Raw genomic sequence first — 20,923 nt, 5'->3', positions numbered from 1 at the left:
GCTTTTGGTCACTTGTTGAGGTTTGCGCAGGCATACCATGCTTGCAGGGGGATGGGCATGGGTCTGTTTCACTTGTGCTCTTCAGGACAGGCAGGGCCAGGAAGGAAGCTGGCCTGGCCTACCTGAGGGCATGTGAGGCCGGGTGCCCTGCTGTCTTGGTCAGTGGTGGTCTGGGGCTGGGGGTTTCTCTACATCTCTGCCTGCAGGTTCTCAGCATGGGAAACTCTTTCTCACCACCTTTCTTTTCCTTCTTCCTCTCGTTTCTGCCTTCCCTTGGCTCTAGTACAGAGCCCCTGTCTTCGGTTCATTTCCAGTACTTCTCCATGGTGGGTATCCAGTGCACTCACATTGATGACCTCATCCCACCTGCAGGGAGGCAGCTGGAGGCATGACGGCTCAGCACTCCAGGTGCCTGGAGGCATTCCCGTATGCGCTGAGCCCTCATGCCTCCCGGTAACCAGGTGTCGTCAGCAGGAGCTTTCTGGATCTGTGTCCCCTGTGTCACTTCCTTTCTTTGTTTCTTCACACACTTCCTGAGATGTGAACCCTGCCTGGGACAATCGCTTTTGTTCCTGGAGACAGTGTACAGAGCTTGGAATTCTCTGAGGGGTTCCTGAGATGGCGCCATTCAAGCCAGGGGGTTGAATAGCTTGACTCTTCATTTCAGCAGCACGATTGACCCCTCAGTGGATCAGCAGCGATTCATTCCACACGTATTTAGTGAGTACCTACTATTCTAGGAGCTGGGCATAAAGACGTGATAAAATGTTAAAAACTTCTGGCCCTCCTGGGGCTTGTATTCTAGTGGGGGTAGACACTCGATAGAAAATAGTCAGTAAAACCTGTAAGCACATCAGATGGTGATCAGAGTTGCAGAAGCAGGGGAAAGGAAGGCCTCCCAAGTTGGGGACATTTAGGCGAAGACCTGAAGGAGGTGAGGAGTGAGCCAGGATGGTAGCTCAGGGAGAAAGGCCCTGAGGCAGGAGCTTGTCCAGGATGTTCAGGAAACTGGAGTGAGTGAATGAGGGGAAGAGAAGCAGGGGAGGAGGTCAGAGAATATTGAGGGCCCCGTTAGATCAGGGCTTTGCAGGCTGTATCAGGACTTTGGCCCTGACTCTGAGTGACCTGAAGCTTCGGAAATGTTTGAGCAGTAGAGGGTCAGGATCCGAATTGTGCTTTAAAAGGATGGTTTCTGGCTATGGTGATGAGAGCAGGCTGGATGGGAGGAAGGGAGGAAGCTGGGTGATTGTGGGGAAACAATTGCAATAGGGAGTTTCATGTGTGTCCGTGTGAAGAGACCACCAAACAGGCTTTGTGTGAGCAATAAAGCTTTTAATCACCTGGGTGCAGGCGGGCTGAATCAGAAAAGAGAGTCAGCGAAGGGAGATAGGGGTGGGGCTGTTTTATAAGATTTGGGTAGGTAAAGGAAAATTACAGTCAAAGGGGGTTTGTTCTCTGGCGGGCAGGAGTGGGGGTCGCAAGGTGCTCAGTGGGGGAGCTTTTTGAGCCAGGATGAGCCAGGAAAAGGACTTTCACAAGGTAATGTCATCACTTAAGGCAAGGACCGGCCATTTTCACTTCTTTTGTGGTGGAATGTCATCAGTTAAGGCAAGGACCGGCCATTTATACTTCTTTTGTGGTGGAATGTCATCAGTTAAGGCGGGGCAGGGCATATTCACTTCTTTTGTGATTCTTCAGTTACTTCAGGCCGTCTGGGCGTATAGGTGCAAGTCACAGGGGATGCGATGGCTTGGCTCGGGCTCAGAGGCCTGACAGGGAGAGGCAGCGGGTGTGTGGGGGCTGCGAGCCTGTTGGGCCCCAGATGTGTTCTAAAGGTAGAGCCAGGCCAGGCATGGTGGCCCACGCCTGTAATCCCAGCACTTTGGGAGGCCAACACGGGCAGATCACCTGAGGTCGGGAGTTCGAGACCAGGCTTCAGCCTGATTAACATGGAGATACCCTGTCTCTACTAAAAATACAAAGATTACCCAGATGTGGTGGTGCATGCCTGTAGTCCCAGCTACTTGGGAGGCTGAGGCAGGAGAATTGCTTGAACCCGGAGGTTCAACCCGGAGGCGGAGGTTGCGGTTAGCCAAGATCACGCCACTGCACTCCAGCCTGCGCAACAAGAGTGAAACTCCATCTCAAAATAAATAAATAAATAAATAAATAAATAAAATAACAAAATAAATAAAGGTAGAGCCTAGAGGAATTCTGAGGCATTGGGTGCCTCTTGCTTAAAAGAAGGTTCTTGTGGACTTGGAGAGATGCAAGAAGTCATCTAGGCCAACCTTTACACCTAACCCACTGGAAAACTGAGGCCTAAGAAAAGAAGTGACTTGTCCAAAGTCCCATGGCAAGCTGGCTAGTTGCAGAGCCAAAATTTGGGCTTCTGGAATGCAGGTCCAGTGTTTTTACAGCTGAAACAATGAATGGTCCCAGTGAGGTTGAGGGCCAAGGGAAGAAGGGCTGGCCCCAGGGTCCCAGAGCCAAGCCACAGGGTCCTGACAGCACCCACAGAGGCCAAGCCCAGCCTCCGCTGGCCAGCAGGAGCCTGAGACTTTGTGAGCTGAGGATTCTTGGCACTCTGGGCCTTCAGCAGCTCTCTCTGGACCAGCATTTTCACCTTAGCTGGGCTGCAGTCTTGACGATGTCAGGCCTTGGGCAGATCAAAGTCAGTGCTCCTGTGCATTATTCACTTGGCTCATGCTGAGCCTCCATGGAGTGTCAGGCCCGAACAAATAAGAGAGTCTTGCTGTCAAGGAGCTAACAGTTCAAGGGAGACAGACGAGCAAACCCAGGGAGCCTGTATCATCAGGGTCATAGGTTCATGTTAGAGGCATATGCAGGGAAATGGCCAAGATCAGGGATCATCACTGTAAGGACAGTCACTAAAACAACTTCTCCTGCCACCAGATGCCCCAGGGAACACAAACCAGAGGCCTTGTGTCTACCAAGGTGGTTTGTTTAAACCCATGATTCAGTTAGCCTGGTGTGGTGGTATGTACCTGTAGTCCCAGCTACTCAGGAGGCTGAGGTGGGAGGATTGCTTTAGGCCAGGAGGTCAAGGCTGCAGTGAGCTATGATTACACCATTGCACTCCAGCCTGGGCGACTGAGTGAGACCTGTCTCTAAATAAACAAATTCATGATTCAGTCCCTTGGAATACAACGGGCAAGGAAGGTTGGTGGGGGCTGAGATCTGACAGCCCTACAGGTAACTGTGTCACCAAGAACAGGTTTCCCTTAAACCTCCAGGACCCATACACTTAGGTTGATCACTGTGGGGTGTCCTCTCATTGCATCGAGTGACTTCCATGTGCTTCTCTGTGAAGAAAGCTGGTATTTTTCTTTTTTAGTGTGCAAGGCTGCTCTAATGACAAGCTTTAAGGTTTCCTGTGGCTAGTGGGATTCAGAATGAGACCTGTGAAGTTCCCAGCTCAGCATGGGAAGAATCAGTTGTCGTCTTTACACTCCTCAGTATGAGGGCTGCCTGTGGGGGATGGGAGGAAAAGATGTTGCTTTTGCTGTCTTGGGAGGAGCTGAATCTATAGGCCAAAGGGGAGGGAAATCCAGTTTGCTTTTTCTTTCAGTTTTTTAACTTCATCGTCCCCATCACAGTAAATGTATTGTTGAGGAATGACAACTTGGAAATTACTTCCATTGATTGGTGTATGGGCTGCCCCAGGAGACCATTCTCAACTGCCCTTTGCTCTGGTGGGCATGTCCTTGCAGAAGGCCACTTCTTAGTGTTTTCTTCTGAGGCTGGACGAGGATGCGGAGACAGTAAGGAAGCTGGAGGCAAGCTCTCTGCCCTTAAGTAGCTCAGGGCAGCATCTTCCCCCACAGCACATGTTGTTCAGCACTTTCCTTCCTCTCCCCAGCCTTCTCCCTCCTGCTCTGGGATGCAGCACTCTAACACACCTTGCTGGGGACTTCCTTGCATTTCTGTGGCAATTCTCAGGTGTAGGCAGAGTTCTGTGACAACTGAGGTTGAGTGCTGTGTCTAGGTTGTGCCTACAAATTAGTGGTGGGCACTATTATTTTTAAGAATTTGTTTTTTAGAGACAAGATCACTCTGTCACCCAGGCTGGAGTACGGTGGTACAATCTTAGCTCACTGCAGTCTCGAACTTGCATGTCACAGACGCACACCACACCCAGCTAATTTTTTAATTTTATGTAGAGATGGGATCTCGCTATGTTGCCTGGGCTGGTCTCAAACTCCTTTCCTCAAGTGATCCTCCCATCTTGGCCTCTCAAAGTGCTGGAATTACAGGCATGAGCCACCATGCCGGACTGGTGGTGGGTTTTAGAACTCACTCCACCACCCCCAAGAAAAGGGAACTTGATGGTTTGTCCCCATGGAGCTTGCACTACAGCTTTCTAGGGGGCTGGTTCCCAGATGGGAGGAGTGGCCTTAAGTAGGCCACTTAACACATGACGAACATTTACTAAGTACCGTCTGTGTGCCTGAGCTGCACTATGTGCTGGACGTAAAAATAAATAAGGTTTGTGCTTTGAGGGGCTTGGGAAGGAGAACCATTTCTTCATTATCCCTCCAGTGCCTGAAATTTTACTATTGGTCCCTTATTCCTTTTAGTCAAGCATTGCCGTCTTTCTAGTTTTCATTCAAATGATAAATACTCTTGGGAAACATGTTGCATTCACTCTTTGATACTTCGCTGTGGATATGTTTATTAATAGAAACAAGAAGCAGGGCAAGTTGATGACAGTGAGAGAGGAGTGGGGAGGTGGCATCTCGGCAGGAGGGACCTTGTCCTGCATCACAGGTTGGCCCAGGGTCAGCCCATGCTATGTCCCACTGCAAGGGGATATTTGAGGTCATAAGTGTGTGTTTTTGAAGCATTAAAGCATCTCCCCAAAATGGCCTAGGTTTGAAAAAACTTTGACCAAAGGAAAGAAAACAAATAAGAAAACCAGTACAGAGTGCCTGTGCACTGTGTCAGGCACTTATTAGGTGCTCAATAAAGAATGTTCCTTCCCTAAAACAAATAGGAGTGGCTCCTGGCACTTGCAGCTGCCTGGGAAAGGTGGCCATGCACCTGGCTGGCAGAGCTCTCTGATCAATGTCAGTGTGGGGTATGTGTGGGGAATGGGGCACGTGGAATGATCAGTTCCTTCGTATGTGAAGTCAGGAAAGGCTTCTGGAACCAGGGAGTTATAGACGTTATATGGAGTTATAGAAACACAGTGGAAGGGGTGGCGTTAGATACTGTTCCTGCCTCAGGTGAGTCTGACTGGGTCTCAGTCTTTTCTCATAGAGAAGAAGAATGGCTAATGCCTTTTCCGGACATTTCATATGAATGGAGTCATAAGATGATATGGTCTTTTGCGTCTGTGTCTGGCTTCTTTCACTCAGCATCATGTTTTCATGGTTCATCCGTGCTGTACCATATGTCAGTGCTGCATGATTTTTTTTTTTTTTTGGAGACGGAGTCTTGCTCTGTTGCCCAGCCTGGAGTGCAGTGGTGCAATCTCAGCTCACTACAACTTCCGCCTACCAGGCTCAAGTGATTCTGCTGCCTTAGCCTCCTGAGTAGCTGGGATTATAGACGTCCACTACCACGTCCAATTAATTTTTGTATTTTTAGTAGAGACGGGGTTTCACCATGTTGGTCAGGCTGGTCTCGATCTCCTGACCTCAGGTGATCCACCCGCCTTGGCCTCCCAAAGTGCTGGGATTACAGGCATGAGCCACCATGCCCAGCTTGTGTACAAGTTTTTATTGAACATGTTTCATTTCTCTTGTGCACATGCCTACAAGTGGAATTGCTGGGTCATATGGTAACTCTGTGTTCAGCATATTTGAGGAATTGCCAGACTGTTTTCCAGAGAGGCTGCAGCATTTTACGTTGCACATTGTTTTATCTGCATGGAGAATTGTATAGTGTGGTTAATGCAGGTTCCAGAACCTAACTGCCTGGGACACCTTGGGCAAGTCCCCTCAACTCACTGCACCTCAGTTTCTTCTTCTGTGAAATGCAGACCTTATTAGTCCTTACTGCATATGGTCATGTGGAAGAAAGGAGTAGGTGTCTGCGGAGTAGGCTGTGCGCGTGTCACCTGCAATTCTTACTTCCCCCGGGCATGGATGCCTGCACACCTGGGTGCTCTGTTAGTGGTGTTTTCTGTGGATGTAGAGCTGTCCTTACAGGGCACTGCCTCTTTCAGTGCTTTCTAGTCTTCTGATTGCCCCTGGGAATAGGCCTCCCAGGCTGTCAGTGCCTGGCACATCTGTGCATCTCTCTCCTCAGCTGGAGGGGCTTCCTAAGGATAGTGCGCCAGCTGTGGGATCTGAGAGGCTGTAGGTGGGACTTGGAACAGTGCCAGCATGGATAGGCATCTGAACCCAGGCACACAGTGGGACCTGGAGCCAGGCATCCAGGAGCCAGGAGCTGTTTGGGTCATTAAAAAAACAGTAGCACAGAGAAGGTTAACCCAGCCCTTAGCTACATGCCTAGTTTTCCTCTGCACTGGGCTCCTGCTCTATGATCGGCCATGTGGAAGGAGATGATGTTCAGACCAGGAGCTTGTGGGAAGTCTGCCAGTGCTGCAGGTAGGGCCCAGAGCCCCCAGGGCTTCGTCAGCCCACAGGCACAAAGGTGGGCCTCCTCCCTCTCTGTAGAGGAGTATCCCACTTGTCCCGCCAGTCAAGCCCTGGCAGAACAGTAGCTTCCCAATCTTGCTGTGCTGGGTGTTCTCCGAGGAACATAGGGAGGCAGATTCAGAGAGCCAGACTTGCCTTTGCCCTCATCTCCAAAGGGAGTCCTGGTATGAGGTTTCATTCTTTAAAAAAAAAGATATATATTTTTTTTTTCAGCAAAATCGACAGTTCTGGGTGAGCGTGAAGGAGGGAATCAGTTGCCTCCCTTATCTGGCAGGTGCTTGCTGTGCCCACTGAATCAGAGATCCAGTGAGGAAGGGGAACTCAGCCCCTGGGATGGGGGTATAGACACATGTTAGAATGCATAGCACATGCACAGAAGGGAGGCACAGAGTGCAGCTAGAGCAGAGAGAAGGCAGCAGCTGACATCTGATGGAGAAGATTTCATACAAGAGGGAGCATTTCAAATGGGCTTTGAAGGATATGGAGGAGTTTATCAGGAGTAAAGGGGGAAAGGCAGACGGACCAGAATGAGCCTTCAGTACTCAAAGTGCATGGTATCTTTGGGGAGTGCTGAGAAGTTTCAGGTTCTTGAAGTACAGAGACAAAGGCTGGCAGGATGGAGATTGGGCTGGGAAGGAAGCCGGCCCCTGAGCTCAGCTCTCAGGAGTGGACACTTGGGAGCCCGTGGGATTCGGGGGACTCACTCGCCAACCTTGTGGCTGTCTCTGTGGCATCTGTTTGTTTGCTTCTAATTAGGAGGCGCTTCCTCTTCTCCATTTGCATATTAGCTGACTGCAGCCTTGAACTCCTGGGCTCAAGCAATCCTCCTGCCTATGCCTCTGGAGTAGCTGGGACTATAGATGCAGGCCACCATGCCTGGCTAATTAAAAAAAATTGTTCTCTTTTTGTAGAGACAGAGTCTTACTATGTTGCCCAGCCTGGTCTTGAACTCCTGAACTCATGTGATCCTCCCACAGTTTCCCAAAGTGCTGGGATTACAGGTTTGAGCCACTGTGCCTGGCCTGCACATGTTTCTTATCTCGTACTGCTGCCCTCCTATGATAGGGCTCTGGCTGGTGGTCCCTGACACCCTCCATCCTGCCTAGATGTCTAGCTCCCCGTCCTGGTCCTGACTTACATCTGGCACCTTCTTCCTCCTCCCATGAGCCCCAACCCATTCCAGGCCTCTTTAGGACCCAAATCCTTGTTCCCTTGAGAGCATCTCCCAGAGCCTGTGGGCCAGCGCTCATCCCAGAGGACAGAAATGGGAAATGGGCCCATGATTCCGTTGTACAGGTGCAAGAAGCCAGGCAGGAGAGCATCTCCCTGCAACCTGGGTGCTGGGGGTGACCTGCTTTCTGTGAGGCTGTGCTGCTGCCTTTGATTCTTCTCTCTTTCTCTGGACTGTCTGCTCTGATTAGCACACTGACGTCAGGAATCTCTGTCACCTTTGGTCTCCCTGTGGCCTGGCGGCTGTGATGTATCATTTTCGACATGTCCCCTGCATCACTACAGAGGGCCAAGGCCAGCAGAGAAAGGAGGATTATGTTGTTCCCATCTGGCTGCAGCCGCTTTCCGAGCTCTGTCCAGCTGTTCCTCATACCCACTGCCAAGTGGCAGATGTAGGGGCGAGGTCAGCCCAGGAGCTGGGGACCTGCCCGTCATCTTCACGTGAATGTCTTCAAGGCTATTTCTGGCCTTGCCATTATCCCAGCGGCTTTGGGCGATAAATATAGGCACAGATTGAAAAACCCCAGTGGAAGGCAGACAGGCAGGCAAGGAAGGCAGGCAGGCAGGCAAGTGAGGCAGGCTGCACTGGAGAGCGTGCGGACAGGCTGCTTGGCTATAAATAAGTCTGCTGGAACCCCTCCCCATCCATGCCATCACTGCTGAGCATGTGCGTGCCTTAAGAAAGACAATCTCCCTTCCTGACTCCCAGCCACAGCTCACTTGTGCCTGTGGGGTCGAGGGTAGAGGAGCGAGGGAGGGTCTGCCAAGGAGAGGAAAGGAGGTGCTGGCCTCTTGAGGACTGTGCAGAAAAGTGGGCTGCTGAAAGTCTTTCCCCCTTAGCACTTTGCAATCACTAATAAAAGGGAGATGGCAGGCCGGGCGCGGTGGCTCATGCCTGTAATCCCAGCACTTTGGGAGGCCAAGGCAGGTGGATCACCTGAGGTCAGGAGTTCGAGACCAGCCTGGCCAACATGGCAAAACCCCGTCTCTACTAAAAGTACAAAAATTAGCTGGGCGTGGTGGTGGGCGCCTGTAATCCCAGCTACTCAGGAGGCTGAGGCAGGAGAATCACTTGAACCCAGGAGGAAGAGGTTGCAGCAAGCCAAGATCGTGCCACTGCACTCAAACCTGGGCGACAAGAGCGAGACTCCATACCAAAAAAATAAATTAAAAATAAATAAATAAATAAATAATAATAAAAATAAAGAGAGATGGCAGGGTGGCCCCACTCTGGGGAGTCCTGGGGACAGCTGTGTTGCACTAAGCACAGTGGCACCAGTCCAGCATCCTTTAGTTCCTCTAGCTTCCCTGGGCCTCGTTTTTGCTGCAGAGGGGCCGGGGAGACCTGCTGGGCCTGGAGGATTCTATGGCCAGCCTGCCATCCTGCTGGGTGGCTCCTGACTTCCACAAGCCACCTTCCTGTGTCTTTTTTCTGCTTCTGCCCTGCCTGGATCCCTCCTCTTGACAAGAGTACAGCTTTGTCTTCTGGTTCCAGGTCCTCACTGCTCAGCCCAGGCTGGCTGGTGTTGGGACCCTTGTTTAGGCTAGTGGTGCAGGGGGAGGGATTCCAGATGCCCCCGGGCCTGTGGCTGTCTCCTTCCCTGTTCCTCTCTGCTCCTTCCTCACACCTTCCTCCCTCTTTCTTCCTTCTCCATGTCCTTTTGGGTTCTCTCTCATTCCTCGCCCCCCTCCCCATCTTCCCACTGCCTCTTCCTAGCTAGAAGCAGATTCTGGCATTGGGTGAGGAACAGAACGCATGCCCAAGACACACTTTTCATGGAAAAGGATTGAAGTCGGTAAGCTGGCAAGAATCCCAGGAACTCACCGTGAATAAAATATGGTTGCTGTGCAGTCACCAATCATGGGAAGTGGCTTCCCGCGAGCCCATTCCTCTTCTGTGGCCTCATTTAACCAGGGCCAAGAGCTGGGGCATGCAAGCAGGGCATGTGTTAATATTGCGTAAATAAATGGTGCCTGGGTGTGCTTGCTGGCTACAGATGGAGATTGAGCTGCCATCACATGGGAGCGGGGCTAGTCCCTCAAAGGAGGGGTCTGTCCCCCTGTCCCAATTCCCAATGTATTCCTGGTGCTTTAGGGCTTCAGGGGACAAGCCACGGGGCCACTTTGGCTCCCTGAGCAGGCGACATGTGTATGGATCCATCATTCAGCCCTGAGTGTGGGCTCTGAGCTACAGGGCTGCAGAAGTGAATCAATTCCAGCCCCCACTCTCAAGGAGCTCTCAGGCCATCACAGGCATCAGTCATGGGCGGTGATGATCCTTACGATAGTGCCAAGCCTTGTGGAAGTGGGGTTGGGGGGGTCTGCCACTGGGGCGTGGAGCCCATGAAGGGAGCCTCAGGTGCTGACGCTTGGTTTAGATCCTGTGGGGTGCTGAGTTCACACGACACAGGAGGCAGGGTTGCGTGTAAACAAGGGAGAGTCTTCCTGGTAGAGGGAACCGCCTTCACAATGGCCCCGAGGCAGGAGGAGCCCCATGGGCTCCTGTCTGTGAGAGTCTGGCTGGGGCTGAGCTGCAGGGAGGACCAGGTTGGGGGCCTCGTGCCCTAGTTAAGGAGCTTAGATGTCGCCTTGAAACCCAAGGGGAGCGTTGAGGGCCTTTACTCAGAGAAGTGACACACTCCGATGTGTGTATTGGAAGACACTTCGTCTCACTTCATCTGGGTGACAGGTCGGAGGCGGGGGGAGGAGGGGGCAGGCTGGTGGCAACATCACGACATCTTGCTTTGTTGAGTACCTGAAAGATCTTTGCGCTTTAACAGAGCCTGTAAAATCGAGATGTACACATGTGGGTGCACGCCCAAGAAATGATTGTTTCTAAAGATGGCAGCGCAGAGCAATCGTCAGCAGGGGCTGCCAAGCGGGATCTGTGCCCAGCACAGGGCCATCGGTTCTGATTTGCTTAGCTCTCCCTGTCACCACAGGGGCGACTGTCCAGCAAGCTTGGCTACTGCCAAAAGCCAGGGTCTGGAGCAGAGATAACCGACTCCCCAGGGGAGCAGCCCATTCCCCTGGGCCCCCTCACCACGTTCCAAGCCCTGAATCAGCCTGCTGTGCAAGGATGGTGGAGTGGAGAGTCTTGGATCCCCAGCAGCCACCCTAATGTGGACGCACTGCCGTGCTGTGAGCCCCAGTGCCCCGAAAAAGAAGTGACCAAAGAAAAAGTGTTGTATGAGGGAAGGATAAACATGCTTGCTTCAGTGCGCCACGAAGCCCAGAAGTTAATCTGATCATATAAATATTTTCACGTGTCTGTGGTTCTGCGAGGGTGTACTGATAAATAGAGTGAAGAAAGGAGAGGTTGTGTGGCTGCAGTCTTGCCCTGGGGGTAGATGTGATGTTTGTTCCCAACTATGAGTCAGACGTGGGGTCAGAGCCAGGAGGTCGGTCAGTCCAAGGCCTTCGATTCTTAGATGGGAACCTGGCCTTCCCTGCCCTCGGCCCCACCTGGGAGCTGCTTCTAGGAGGTGGAGGGACCCCACCCCACTGCCTGTGCTTGGTTTCGGAGAAGGCTGTCTGGGCCTTTGATGCATCTGTGCAGATGGAGGACGGTAATTTATGGTCCTGTGGGGGAGGAGAAGAGTTTCTCCAATTACCAGCTTCCCAAGTTCCTGGCTTTATGGCCAGAGTTGGAGGCAGCTATTTGGGTAACGTCCCCAGAGGACTAAGTCCGCTTTCCTGGGGCAGAGCAGATGATGGAGACTTCCATGGCATTGTGGGTGAGCCTGATGCGCCGGAGGACAAGCCTGGCAGGAAGCACAGGATCACAGGCCTTGGCTGGGCTCCGCTTCAGCCTGCTGGGTGAAGACATGGGGCCTTTCCGAGGTCAGCCGGAGTCACCTCCCAGGAGCCTGCCTGAGCTCTCTGAGAGCCTTGGACTGGCTTCCTGGTGTTCTGGGATCCCCTGCACCACTTGAGTTCCATTCCTCTGGCTGGCAGACCTGTCACCTTGGTCAGCCCCTTTTAAGTCTACAGCCAGCCCTGTACTGGTGAGGCTCAAATAAGACAAGTATTCCTGAAATGTGTCACCTGGCTCTGTTGGCCAAGCCAGCAGTGCCACAAGAGAAGCAGCTGCCATGGCCCAGTGACACCTGGAGTGTTTGACGATGCTTTGTGTCCATGTGGCCCCTAACCAGGCCTTTCTCACAGCCACATAGCATCCCCAGGCCTGCTGCACTGGGCCAGCCGCAGCCTCCGAGCCCAGCCTGAGGGGCCTCTCACTGGGATCCCCAGCTTTGTCCCTGAGATGAGGGGGCTGATCCTAAGAGTGTGGGTGGGGATGCCTCTGCCCAGGGGGTTCTGGTGGTGTTGGGCTCTGGCCCAGGCCTCCTGGCTCTGTGTCCTTCCATAGACTCCAGGTTCCTCACAGTCATTCACAAACCAACTGAATGTTGGTGTCTTGTGGCTTCTGGTCTCAGGGTTGGAGGTATTAAAGCCATGGAAGAGCAGTCTCTCCTGGGCTGCAACAGCCTGTCTTCTGTGGCCTCTAGCTCCATCCTCAGAGTTTGGGATAGGGGCTGAATCTTTTGCTTGTTCTCCCTCCCAGGGCTGGCCCCCAGAGTCAGTACTTCAGGTTGAGGGGAGTGGGAGGTTGGCTCTGGAGGGGCTGCCGAGTGGCAGGAGGAAGGGGCTCAGGAGCAGGGGGTGGCTCCACTGCAGCGGCCAGACTCTGTTGATTACAGATGATTATTTCAAGGTGTGTGTGTGTGTGCGCGTGTGTGTGTGTGCGTGTGTGTATTTTTAAATAACAGCTCTATTGAGATATAGTTCACATACCATACAATTCACCCATTGAAAGTGTACAATTCAATGGTTTCTAGTATGTTCACAGAGTTGTATAATGAACACCACAGTTAATTTTAGAACATTTTCTTCTATTCTCTTACAATGTGTAAAAATAAATAAAGGTTTTTTTAAAAAAACATTTTCATCACACCAAAAATGAGCTCCTCGATGGATGTTATCCCTCATTTGTCCCCAAACCCCCAGCCCCTGGCAACCACTAATCTACTTTCTATCTCTGGATTTGCCTATCATGGACATTTCTTATGAACGGAGTGACACACCATGTGGCATTTTGTGTCTGGTTTCTTCCACTGAGCATCATGATTTCAAGTTCATGTAGGAGCATGCATCTGAGCTTCATTCCTTCTCATGGTGCAATCATCTTCCACTGTGTGTATAAGACCACATTTTGTCAATCCACACATCCATGGATCACAAGTGCATTTTTAAAGGGTGCTTTTACATCTCAAACACAGTTCTCAGTTGGCGAGGGGGTCAGAGGACAATACAGAAGTGACTGTAAGCGGCATAAACTGTAGCTTCCCAGAGGGGCTCCAGGGGCTCGGGGGAGAGGTCGAGGTAGGGAGGCAATGTCCTTCCTTTGAGCAGCCACTGAGAGGGAGAAGGAGTTGCAGAGATCAGGAAGGAGAGGATTTATTTCCAGTTTTCTGGCAGTTTTTCCTCACTCTTTCGGAGACCTAGGATGGGTTAGGAGAGGGCATGGCAAAGGCAGAGGTGGCTCTGCTAGAGGAGGCCGCAGGTCCGCAGGCCGAACCTGGGGAGCCAGCCATGTCTGGCCTGAGGCCCTGCTTTGAGGAGAAGATAAAGCCTTGAGGAGCCTTTTGGGCCGATCTGGGAACCCAGCAAGACTAGATTAGCCTGACTGATGACAGACCTGGGATGAGGATGAGGGCAGTTAAGTATTTGTTTAATCTTGCTTTGTCTTTTCAAACAGCGATTTAGTAATCCTGTTTGAGGCTGCAGTGTGGCAATGCTTTCCAGAGGATGGAGTCCTTTTTGTTTGTTTTGAAAAAATAGAGATAAGGTTTCACTATGTTGCCTAGGCTGGTCTCATACTCGGCCTCAAGCCATCCTCCTGCCTGGGCCTCCCAAAGTGTTGGGATTACAGGCGTGAGCCATGGTGCCAGACTGGAGTCCTTTTATTAAAATTAACTGCCCTGCTCAGCTTTCTGCTGGGCCACCCCAGAGCCAATCCTTGGTTCTTGGGCCCAAGGCTGGACCCAGGGGTTGCAGGAAACAGTCTGTAGCATCCAAGTGGGGCCTGTCGTACCCACTCCAGTGTGTAGGTGCAGAACGCTCTTTGGGGGATTTCTCTGCTGGGCCACCTTACTCCAGGGATCCCTCAGTTTTCAAAACAAAGCAAGAGGGCAAGGAAGAATGGAGAAACAGCTCAGTGTTGACTCTCTTCCCCCTGGTGAGTGCTGTGCTGGGGCCTCTGTGCACATCATACCACTTCCCCCTTGAATCAGCCCCACAAGGCAGGGTGAGAGATGAGGACTCAGGGTGCAAGGAGGTCTCACAGCTTGGAAATGGATCAGGACAGCTCTGATTCTCCAAGGCCAAGGTCTTCTCTATATCATGAGGCAGCCCAAAAATGTGTTTCTACACATATTCTGTGTAGAAACTCAGGCCAGGCTCCTATATGCTCTGGGTGACAGCGGGAAGGTGCTTTCCAGTGTGTATCAGTGTGGCCCATCTGGGAGTCATAATGTCATTGCCTCTTCCAAAATATCAGCAAAGCTGACCCTAGTGCTTGTAGTGCTCAAATGCACCTCTCTGCCTTTGTGCCATAGGGAAATGGATTTGGTCCTGGGGGTGGTGATACCAACTTCTGTCTCAATTCCATGACCCTCACTCAGCACCCCCACCCCAGGCCTGTGCAGAGGAGGAATAACCGTCCTTGAGAACCATCCAGCCCTAGGTGGAGAAATTAGATTTATGGACTTAATCAGTTCTTCTTCCCTGTCAGTGGTGGTGAGAATGAAATGGGGGAAATTGATAAGCCTCAGTCATGTTTTCCTGCGAGACAAGGCAGCTTTGGTAGCTGGTGGGACTGACGCCTTCTTCACCTGTGTCCTCTGCCTCTGAGTGACTATAAATTGCGAACCCCATGAGGTGGCACCTGCAGCCACAGATCGCTTAGGCACCTTGCACAGGGGGCCACCTAATGAACTGGCTGCAGGACGGCAATCCTGCTGTGAAGCCAGGCACCTCGGGAGGGGCAAGGTGGCAGAACCGAGAGAGCAGATGCTCCTTGCTGTTTCTGTAAGGCCACCAGTGGCTGGGTGGCCTGGCCCTGGTAGCAAGGTGGTAACCGTGTGAGTGGCTGAATCCTGCACCACTTTTCCTGAGCCTCCTTCCTCCTGGATTCCTGCAACTATATTCTCACTACATGGCTCACCACCAATTCGTTCTCTCTGCCCCAAGGAGGCTGGACAAGAGGCTCAGGTCAGTGCGGGTACGCAGGAACCTATGTCTGTAAAATGAAAATGCCTGCCTTCAAGGGCTGTCTTGAGGTTGAAAGGAGATGGTCTACATCAAGGGTTAGGAAGACCACAATGTGGCTGTGCCGGCCACCTCCAGGCTGGCTTCAGTCTCCCATCCCCATAGTCATACCCCTGTGAAGTCCCTTCCCATACTGAATCGGGCTACCTGTGTATCTTATAGGGTGTTGGAAATGACAGATTGTGAATTCCAAGGCCCCATAAAAGACAGCGTGGGCTGGGCGTGGTGGCTCACGCCTGTAATCCCAGCACTTTGGGAGGCCGAGCCAAGTGGATCACTTGAGGTCAGGAGTTCTAGACCAGCCTGGCCAGCATGGTGAAAACCTATCTCTACTAAAAATACAAAAAAAAAAAAAAATTTAGCCAGGTGTGTTGGCACCTGTGCCTGTAGTCCCAGATACTTGGGAGGCTGAGCCAGGAGAATCACTTGAACCTGAGAGGTGGAGGTTTCAGTGAGCCGAGATTGTGCCACTGCACTCCAGCTGGGTGGCAGAGACTCTGTCTCTAAACAAAGAAAATGTGGTTTCTGCTGTCCTTTCTCTTGGATCACTTTCTCTGGGAAACCAGCCACCATCTTGTGAGGACACTCAAGCTCTCTGGAAAGGTTCAGAAATGTGGTGAGGAAGTGAGACAGACCTCTTGCCAAAAACCATGTACTAACTTATCAGTCACGTACATGAGTTGACTTAGAAATGACTCTATCAGCCTCAGCCAAACCTTCAGATGACTGCAGCCCTGGTCAACATCTTGACTGTGACCCCATGGAAGACCCTGAAACACTCAGCCAAGCCACTCTCAGCTTCCTGATCCACAGAAGCAGCATGAAATAATAAATTTTTCTTGTTTTAAACTAAGTTTTGGGTTAATTTGTTATACAGCTGTAGATAACTCCAAGAATAATACTCCATAAATGTTGATTTCCTTTCTGCGGCTCCACTGAGTCATCTTTGTTCATGGGCAAAGCTCACTGTCTCTCTACTGGCTGCAAAAGATGTCCATTTGTTGGCTCTGACTCATGCTTGTGGTCTTGTTGGCTCACAGCAAGGCCTTTTCACAGAGGATGGTGGTTTGTCACACTCAGAATCCAGGTCTTACCTGCTTTCCTGCTCCATGGAATTTTGACCTGAGTTTGAAGGCTGATAGGGGATTGATGGATGAGGGAGAAAGACACAGTCAGTTCTTAGAGCAGTAGCTAATCCAGGGGTTTCTCTGGCTTTGTTTGCATGAGTAGTGATAGTTGGGGATGAAGCATGGGTATTCGAGATCTTTTTTGTGTGAGTATGGGAGGAAAAATTCTGTTCTCTTCCTCCTCCATCTTTATTCATCTTTGTCTTCCCTCGGATCAGCTTTAAAGACCCCTGAGACTCTAGGACTTGGTTTGCTTTTTTCTCACCACTGGGATCCATCTCCCACTAGTAGGAAGAAGGATCTAAGTAGTTGAGCTGCATAAAGGGGAAGTAAACAGCCAGACAAATGTTACATTTTAGAGCCTTGAGTGACCCAGAGCTTTCTATCAGCTTCATTGGGTGCAGGGAGGGTAGCGATTTCTGGCTGCTGTCACCTCCTTGCTCATATCAGGAAGCGCTAATTTTGAGGCAAAGTTCAGTGCCCTCTGGCTCACCTAGGGCCCCTGTTGCCTAATTTCACGAGGCCAAGAGTTTGAGGGTGGGTTCGGGGCTGCGCAGCCTGGATGCCTTGGTTTGCATGCCTACAGCAGCTGTGCCCGAAAGCTTTTTTTAGAGTAAATATGTAGCTTTTGCTAGGCTTTTTGTGTGCCTTGTTCATTCCTCTATCATTTTTTGTATACCTGCTATGGTGTCAGGCACTGGGGATACAAATTAGCCGGGGACTCGGACATGTAAGCAAGTAAGCCCAACAGCAGCTAACATTTATGCAGTGCTCACTGTGTGCTTGGATGTCCAGAGTGATAGAGCAGGTTTAGTAAGGGGGACAGAGGGCTGAGACCAGAGGCAAGGTGGAGAAGGGCATTTCTGGAGGCAGCAACATGAGTGCAAAGGAGACATACACAAGGTTCCCTGGGGGATTCCAAGTTGTTGCTGTCGTGGCTTCAAATCTTACTTTAGGGCCTACTCAGATGGCATCTTGTTCATGAAGATGTGCCTGTTTTTTGTTTTATTTGTCCCTCTCCCCCCAACAAAGAGTAAACTTTTTTTCTGAACTTCTCGAAAGTTTGCTAACATCAGCTATAAAACTCTCTGGGCCTGGGGATATTTTGCGGGGAGCAGGGAAGATCTTTGATTATCATTTTAACTTATTTCTGTTCATTTATTCAAGCTTTTTCTTCTTTCACCAATTCTCAAAAGCCCCACACCACCCTCCTGCCACCCCCACACCCCTCCACTTCCAGTCGCTACCTTCCACCCATCATTCTCACTTCTAAAGCCATCAACAGAGGTTTTGAACACCACTCATGTGCCAGGTGTTGTTCTAAGCACAGATTCATCAGTGAGCCAAATGAAATTCCTTCCTAAAATATGCTCTTTGGTGGTGCTAAATGCCAGGAAGAAAAGTAAGCAAGGGGAGGGAAGAGAGAGGTGTGGGGTGGCGGGGGGCGGGAGCTTGGATAGGATGGTCAGAAAGGACCTCTTTGTAGAAACTTAAATAAATTTAGAAAGCAAGTCATGTAATATCTGGGAAAGAGGAAATAGCAGGTGCAAAGACCCTGAGGTTGAAGTGTCCTGGCAAGTTTGAGGCAAGCAAGGAAGGCAGGGTGGTTGGAACAGAACAAGAGAAGAAACGTGGTAGGAAATGATGGAGAGTCAGGGGCACGACCTTGGAGGACTTGCAGGTCATGGTAAAGACGCTGGACTCGACACGAAGTGTGAACAGAGTTCTTGGAGGATTCTGAGGTAGAGAGTAGCATAATCTCATTTGTGTTTTTATTTTAACATGCTCACTTGGGCCACCTTGTAGAGGCTGGAGTGAAAAGGAGGGAGACTAGTTAGAAATTCTGTATTGCTGGCTGGGCGTGGTAGCTCCCGGCACTGTGGGAGGCCAAGGCCAGAGGATTGCTTGAGTCTAGCAGTTTGAGCCCAGCCTAGGCAACATAGCGAGACCCTGTCTCTGCAAAAAATTTTAAAATTGCCCAGGGATGGTGGTGCACACTTGTAATCCCAACTACTTGGGAGGCTGAGGTGGGAGGATTGCCTGAGCCCAGGAGTTTGAGGCTCCAGTGAGCTGTGATTGTGCCATTGCACTCCAGCCTGGGTGACAGAGCGAGACCCTGTCTCTAAAAAAAAAAGAAAAAAAAGAAATTCTGTATTGCAGCAGCCTAAGAGAGTCATTAGTTAAGAGATTTGTAGTAGGCATTTTTTAGAAAGTTGCATTGAGGGCTAGGTACGGTGGCTCATGCCTATAATCCCAGCACTTTGGGAGGCCAAGGTGGGTAGATCATTTGAGGTCAGGAGCCTGGCCAACATAGCGAAACCCCGTCTCTACTAAAAAAATTAGCCGGGCGGTAGTGGCATGCGCCTGTAATCCCAGCTACTCGGGAGGCTGAGGCAGGAGAATTGCTTGAGCCTGGGAGGTGGAGGTTGCCAGTGAGTCGAGATCGCGCCACTGCACTCCAGCAGTCTGGGCGACAGAGTGAGACGCTGTTTCAAAAAAAAAAAGAAAAGAAAAGAAAAAAGAAGGTTTCATTGAGGGAAATTCATTCCCTTTGAGAGGGAGTTGGAAGCAGCTTGCCCTTCAACAGGGTACACAGAGTCTCCCATAAGTGTGCAGGGCCCGCTATTTCTAGTCCCTGGAAGGATTTGGGTCTCTAGTTGTCTCCAGGCTCTCTGAGGGTCTGAGGAATGCCTCGTAAGCCAGAACATGGAGATACTTCTTCCCTTTAGTGCCCTAGCCTTGGTTCTGAAGGAGTTAATTGCACCCTTGGGTGCTAATCACAGTGGCTGGGCTGAGCAGAACTGAGTACCAAGGTCTTGGGCCTGAGAAGAACCAGGCCAGTCCAACCATTCTGTGGGCTTCCCTGAGGGACCTGCTCTGAGACCTTTCCCTAGGACTTCCAGAGGCTCATGTCCGGAAGTCAGAGCTGTGCAAGCCGGCTGTAGGTCTGCCTCTGCACGCCAGAGACTCTTCTCAGAGCCTCCTTCCACACTTCCCTTGAGATACCCTATGGAACAGTGGTGGCCAGCTCAGGCTTGGAGCCAGATGACTAGAATTTGAATCGGGGCTCCACTACCTCTTGGCTGTATGTCCTGGGGCAAGTCACTAACCTCTCTGTGCTTCAGTTTCCTCATATGCAACATGGGGACAAAAAGATTCAATCAGTTAATTCACATGCTGAGAAGAGTAGTTGTGGTTGTGGTCTGGCCCGACTGGCCCCTTCCCCTGTCTTCAGGATCGCTGACCCACACCTCCTGGCCAGCATTAAGGGATTAATGTTGTACTTCCATTATAATCCATGTATCATTACCATTTACCGACCTTTGACCATGTCCCAGCCATATGCTAAACACTTACTATACATCATCTCATTGTAGTCCTCAGAAAAGCCCAAGAGACAAACACTGTCTTCACCCCCATTTTGTAGAAGAGAAAACCGAGGTTTAGAGGGTTGAAGGAACTAGCCAAGGCCCCCAAGCTGGTAAATGATGGAGCCAGGACCTGATGCCCCCTGCAAGCTGCTTTTCTGTAGCCAGGGAGCAGGAAGGTGCTGGCATGTCATAGTGTTGGGGCCCTGGCTTTCCTGTTCTTGCTCACGGCTACCTTGCCTGGCTCCAGCAACCTTCCCGGTATTTTTCTAACTGTAGATGGTCAGAGAGGACCTCCCTGTGAAAACCTAAATAAACGTAGGAAGCAGGTTACGGAATATCGGGAAGTGCATTTCAGGAAAAGGGTGCAGTGAATGCCGAGACCAGGAGGTGCCTTCCAGGGAGGTGTCCACAGAGACTTCTCAGCCCCTGCCTGCCCTGTGGCATCTGGCTGGCCGCCAGGGAGACAGGGCATCCTGGCTTAGTCATGCTGGCTCACACAAAGAGCCCTTCTCTGAAGGTCCCTGGTGTTCATACATGACAAGACAGGCCCTGTGAGCCTCTGCGCTGTGCTTTAAGCATTGAGTCTGTCTGGGGGCAGTTTGCAGAGGGTCCCACCATTGTCCCTGTGGAGTTATTGGCCATCCTGTATCTTCAAGTTGCATTTTGGAGAGTGGGCTTTTTTCTCCTTGTATTTTTTTTTATTGTGGTAAAATATACATAACATAAAATTTTCTGTGTTAACCACTTTTATGCGTATAGTTCATTGGCATAAGTACATTTAGAATGTGTGTAACCATCACCCCTATCCATTTCCAGAATTTTTTTTATCATCCCAAACAGAAACTGCACCCATTAACTAACAACTCCCAACCCTTTTCCTCACCCCCAGTAGCCTCTGCCGTACTCTTTGTCTCTATGGATTTGCGTCTTCTAGATGTTTCATAGGAACAGAGTCTTGCAATATGTGGCCTTTTGTGTCTGGCTTCTTTTGCTCAGCATCATGTTTTTGAGGTTTGTCTGTGTTGTAGGGGGTGGGCTTTTTGAAGCAAAGGGGATGTCAGCACTGTGTGCTGACCCTATACCAGGTGCTGCCAGGGAGCAAAAGAGGAAGAGAAGCCCAGGTCCTGCCCAGGAGCCCCCATCTGGGTCACGCAGATGGCGCTAGCTCACACCTACTTAGTTACTCCTCAGCTCCTGGATCTACCTGTTTGCATCTCTCCAGACAGGTGCCCCTCGA

General features: G+C 50.9%; 1 protein-coding gene across 29 annotated transcripts in view, besides 13 other annotated features; it reads left to right on the top strand.

The window, feature by feature from the left end:
* The window catches only part of PITPNM2 (phosphatidylinositol transfer protein membrane associated 2), a 168,369-nt gene that overhangs the window by 45,774 nt on the left and 101,672 nt on the right, over nucleotides 1-20,923 (top strand). For 5 of the 29 annotated variants that reach the window (NM_001384662.1, XM_047429214.1, NM_001384660.1 and 2 more), the window contains exon 1: nucleotides 559-720. The exons of the other annotated variants lie outside the window; for them this stretch is intronic. The gene's annotated coding sequence lies outside the window, so the exon portion shown is untranslated. Of the gene's footprint in view, nucleotides 1-558; nucleotides 721-20,923 lie in introns of those variants that run through there. 29 annotated transcript variants of the gene reach the window in all.
* Nucleotides 376-1,118: an enhancer, noted in NCBI's record as "NANOG-H3K27ac-H3K4me1 hESC enhancer chr12:123589504-123590246 (GRCh37/hg19 assembly coordinates)". NCBI's record gives its function as "activates a minimal SCP1, AML or CMV promoter by ChIP-STARR-seq in naive H9 embryonic stem cells {active_cell/tissue: H9 hESC(naive)}" and the evidence as "EXISTENCE:reporter gene assay evidence [ECO:0000049][PMID:30033119]".
* Nucleotides 1,119-1,859: an enhancer, noted in NCBI's record as "OCT4-NANOG-H3K27ac-H3K4me1 hESC enhancer chr12:123588763-123589503 (GRCh37/hg19 assembly coordinates)". NCBI's record gives its function as "activates a minimal SCP1, AML or CMV promoter by ChIP-STARR-seq in naive H9 embryonic stem cells {active_cell/tissue: H9 hESC(naive)}" and the evidence as "EXISTENCE:reporter gene assay evidence [ECO:0000049][PMID:30033119]".
* Nucleotides 8,802-9,767: an enhancer, noted in NCBI's record as "H3K4me1 hESC enhancer chr12:123580855-123581820 (GRCh37/hg19 assembly coordinates)". NCBI's record gives its function as "activates a minimal SCP1, AML or CMV promoter by ChIP-STARR-seq in naive H9 embryonic stem cells {active_cell/tissue: H9 hESC(naive)}" and the evidence as "EXISTENCE:reporter gene assay evidence [ECO:0000049][PMID:30033119]".
* Nucleotides 10,400-10,963: an enhancer, noted in NCBI's record as "H3K4me1 hESC enhancer chr12:123579659-123580222 (GRCh37/hg19 assembly coordinates)". NCBI's record gives its function as "activates a minimal SCP1, AML or CMV promoter by ChIP-STARR-seq in primed H9 embryonic stem cells {active_cell/tissue: H9 hESC(primed)}" and the evidence as "EXISTENCE:reporter gene assay evidence [ECO:0000049][PMID:30033119]".
* Nucleotides 10,964-11,527: an enhancer, noted in NCBI's record as "H3K4me1 hESC enhancer chr12:123579095-123579658 (GRCh37/hg19 assembly coordinates)". NCBI's record gives its function as "activates a minimal SCP1, AML or CMV promoter by ChIP-STARR-seq in primed H9 embryonic stem cells {active_cell/tissue: H9 hESC(primed)}" and the evidence as "EXISTENCE:reporter gene assay evidence [ECO:0000049][PMID:30033119]".
* Nucleotides 11,079-11,373: an enhancer, noted in NCBI's record as "tiled region #12762; HepG2 Activating DNase unmatched - State 5:Enh". NCBI's record gives its function as "activates a minimal TATA promoter and a strong SV40 promoter by Sharpr-MPRA in HepG2 cells {active_cell/tissue: HepG2}" and the evidence as "EXISTENCE:reporter gene assay evidence [ECO:0000049][PMID:27701403]".
* Nucleotides 12,908-13,428: an enhancer, noted in NCBI's record as "H3K4me1 hESC enhancer chr12:123577194-123577714 (GRCh37/hg19 assembly coordinates)". NCBI's record gives its function as "activates a minimal SCP1, AML or CMV promoter by ChIP-STARR-seq in naive H9 embryonic stem cells {active_cell/tissue: H9 hESC(naive)}" and the evidence as "EXISTENCE:reporter gene assay evidence [ECO:0000049][PMID:30033119]".
* Nucleotides 13,429-13,950: an enhancer, noted in NCBI's record as "H3K4me1 hESC enhancer chr12:123576672-123577193 (GRCh37/hg19 assembly coordinates)". NCBI's record gives its function as "activates a minimal SCP1, AML or CMV promoter by ChIP-STARR-seq in naive H9 embryonic stem cells {active_cell/tissue: H9 hESC(naive)}" and the evidence as "EXISTENCE:reporter gene assay evidence [ECO:0000049][PMID:30033119]".
* Nucleotides 13,429-14,022: a biological region, named in NCBI's record as "H3K4me1 hESC enhancer GRCh37_chr12:123576672-123577193".
* Nucleotides 13,866-14,022: a silencer, noted in NCBI's record as "fragment chr12:123576600-123576756 (GRCh37/hg19 assembly coordinates)". NCBI's record gives its function as "represses an EF-1alpha promoter that drives an FKBP-Casp9 reporter gene in an ReSE screen in K562 erythroleukemia cells {active_cell/tissue: K562}" and the evidence as "EXISTENCE:reporter gene assay evidence [ECO:0000049][PMID:32094911]".
* Nucleotides 20,039-20,333: a silencer, noted in NCBI's record as "tiled region #3114; K562 Repressive non-DNase unmatched - State 23:Low". NCBI's record gives its function as "represses a minimal TATA promoter and a strong SV40 promoter by Sharpr-MPRA in K562 cells {active_cell/tissue: K562}" and the evidence as "EXISTENCE:reporter gene assay evidence [ECO:0000049][PMID:27701403]".
* Nucleotides 20,039-20,333: an enhancer, noted in NCBI's record as "tiled region #3114; HepG2 Activating DNase matched - State 8:EnhW". NCBI's record gives its function as "activates a minimal TATA promoter and a strong SV40 promoter by Sharpr-MPRA in HepG2 cells {active_cell/tissue: HepG2}" and the evidence as "EXISTENCE:reporter gene assay evidence [ECO:0000049][PMID:27701403]".
* Nucleotides 20,773-20,912: an enhancer, noted in NCBI's record as "active region_7251". NCBI's record gives its function as "activates an Ori minimal core promoter by ATAC-STARR-seq in GM12878 lymphoblastoid cells {active_cell/tissue: GM12878}" and the evidence as "EXISTENCE:reporter gene assay evidence [ECO:0000049][PMID:35858748]".

The sequence above is a fragment of the Homo sapiens genome, chromosome 12, assembly GCF_000001405.40.
Source record: "Homo sapiens chromosome 12, GRCh38.p14 Primary Assembly".
NCBI classification, from domain to species: domain Eukaryota; kingdom Metazoa; phylum Chordata; class Mammalia; order Primates; family Hominidae; genus Homo; species Homo sapiens.
Note: the sequence above shows the minus strand (reverse complement) of the source record. Positions and strands in the feature narration are given on the sequence as shown.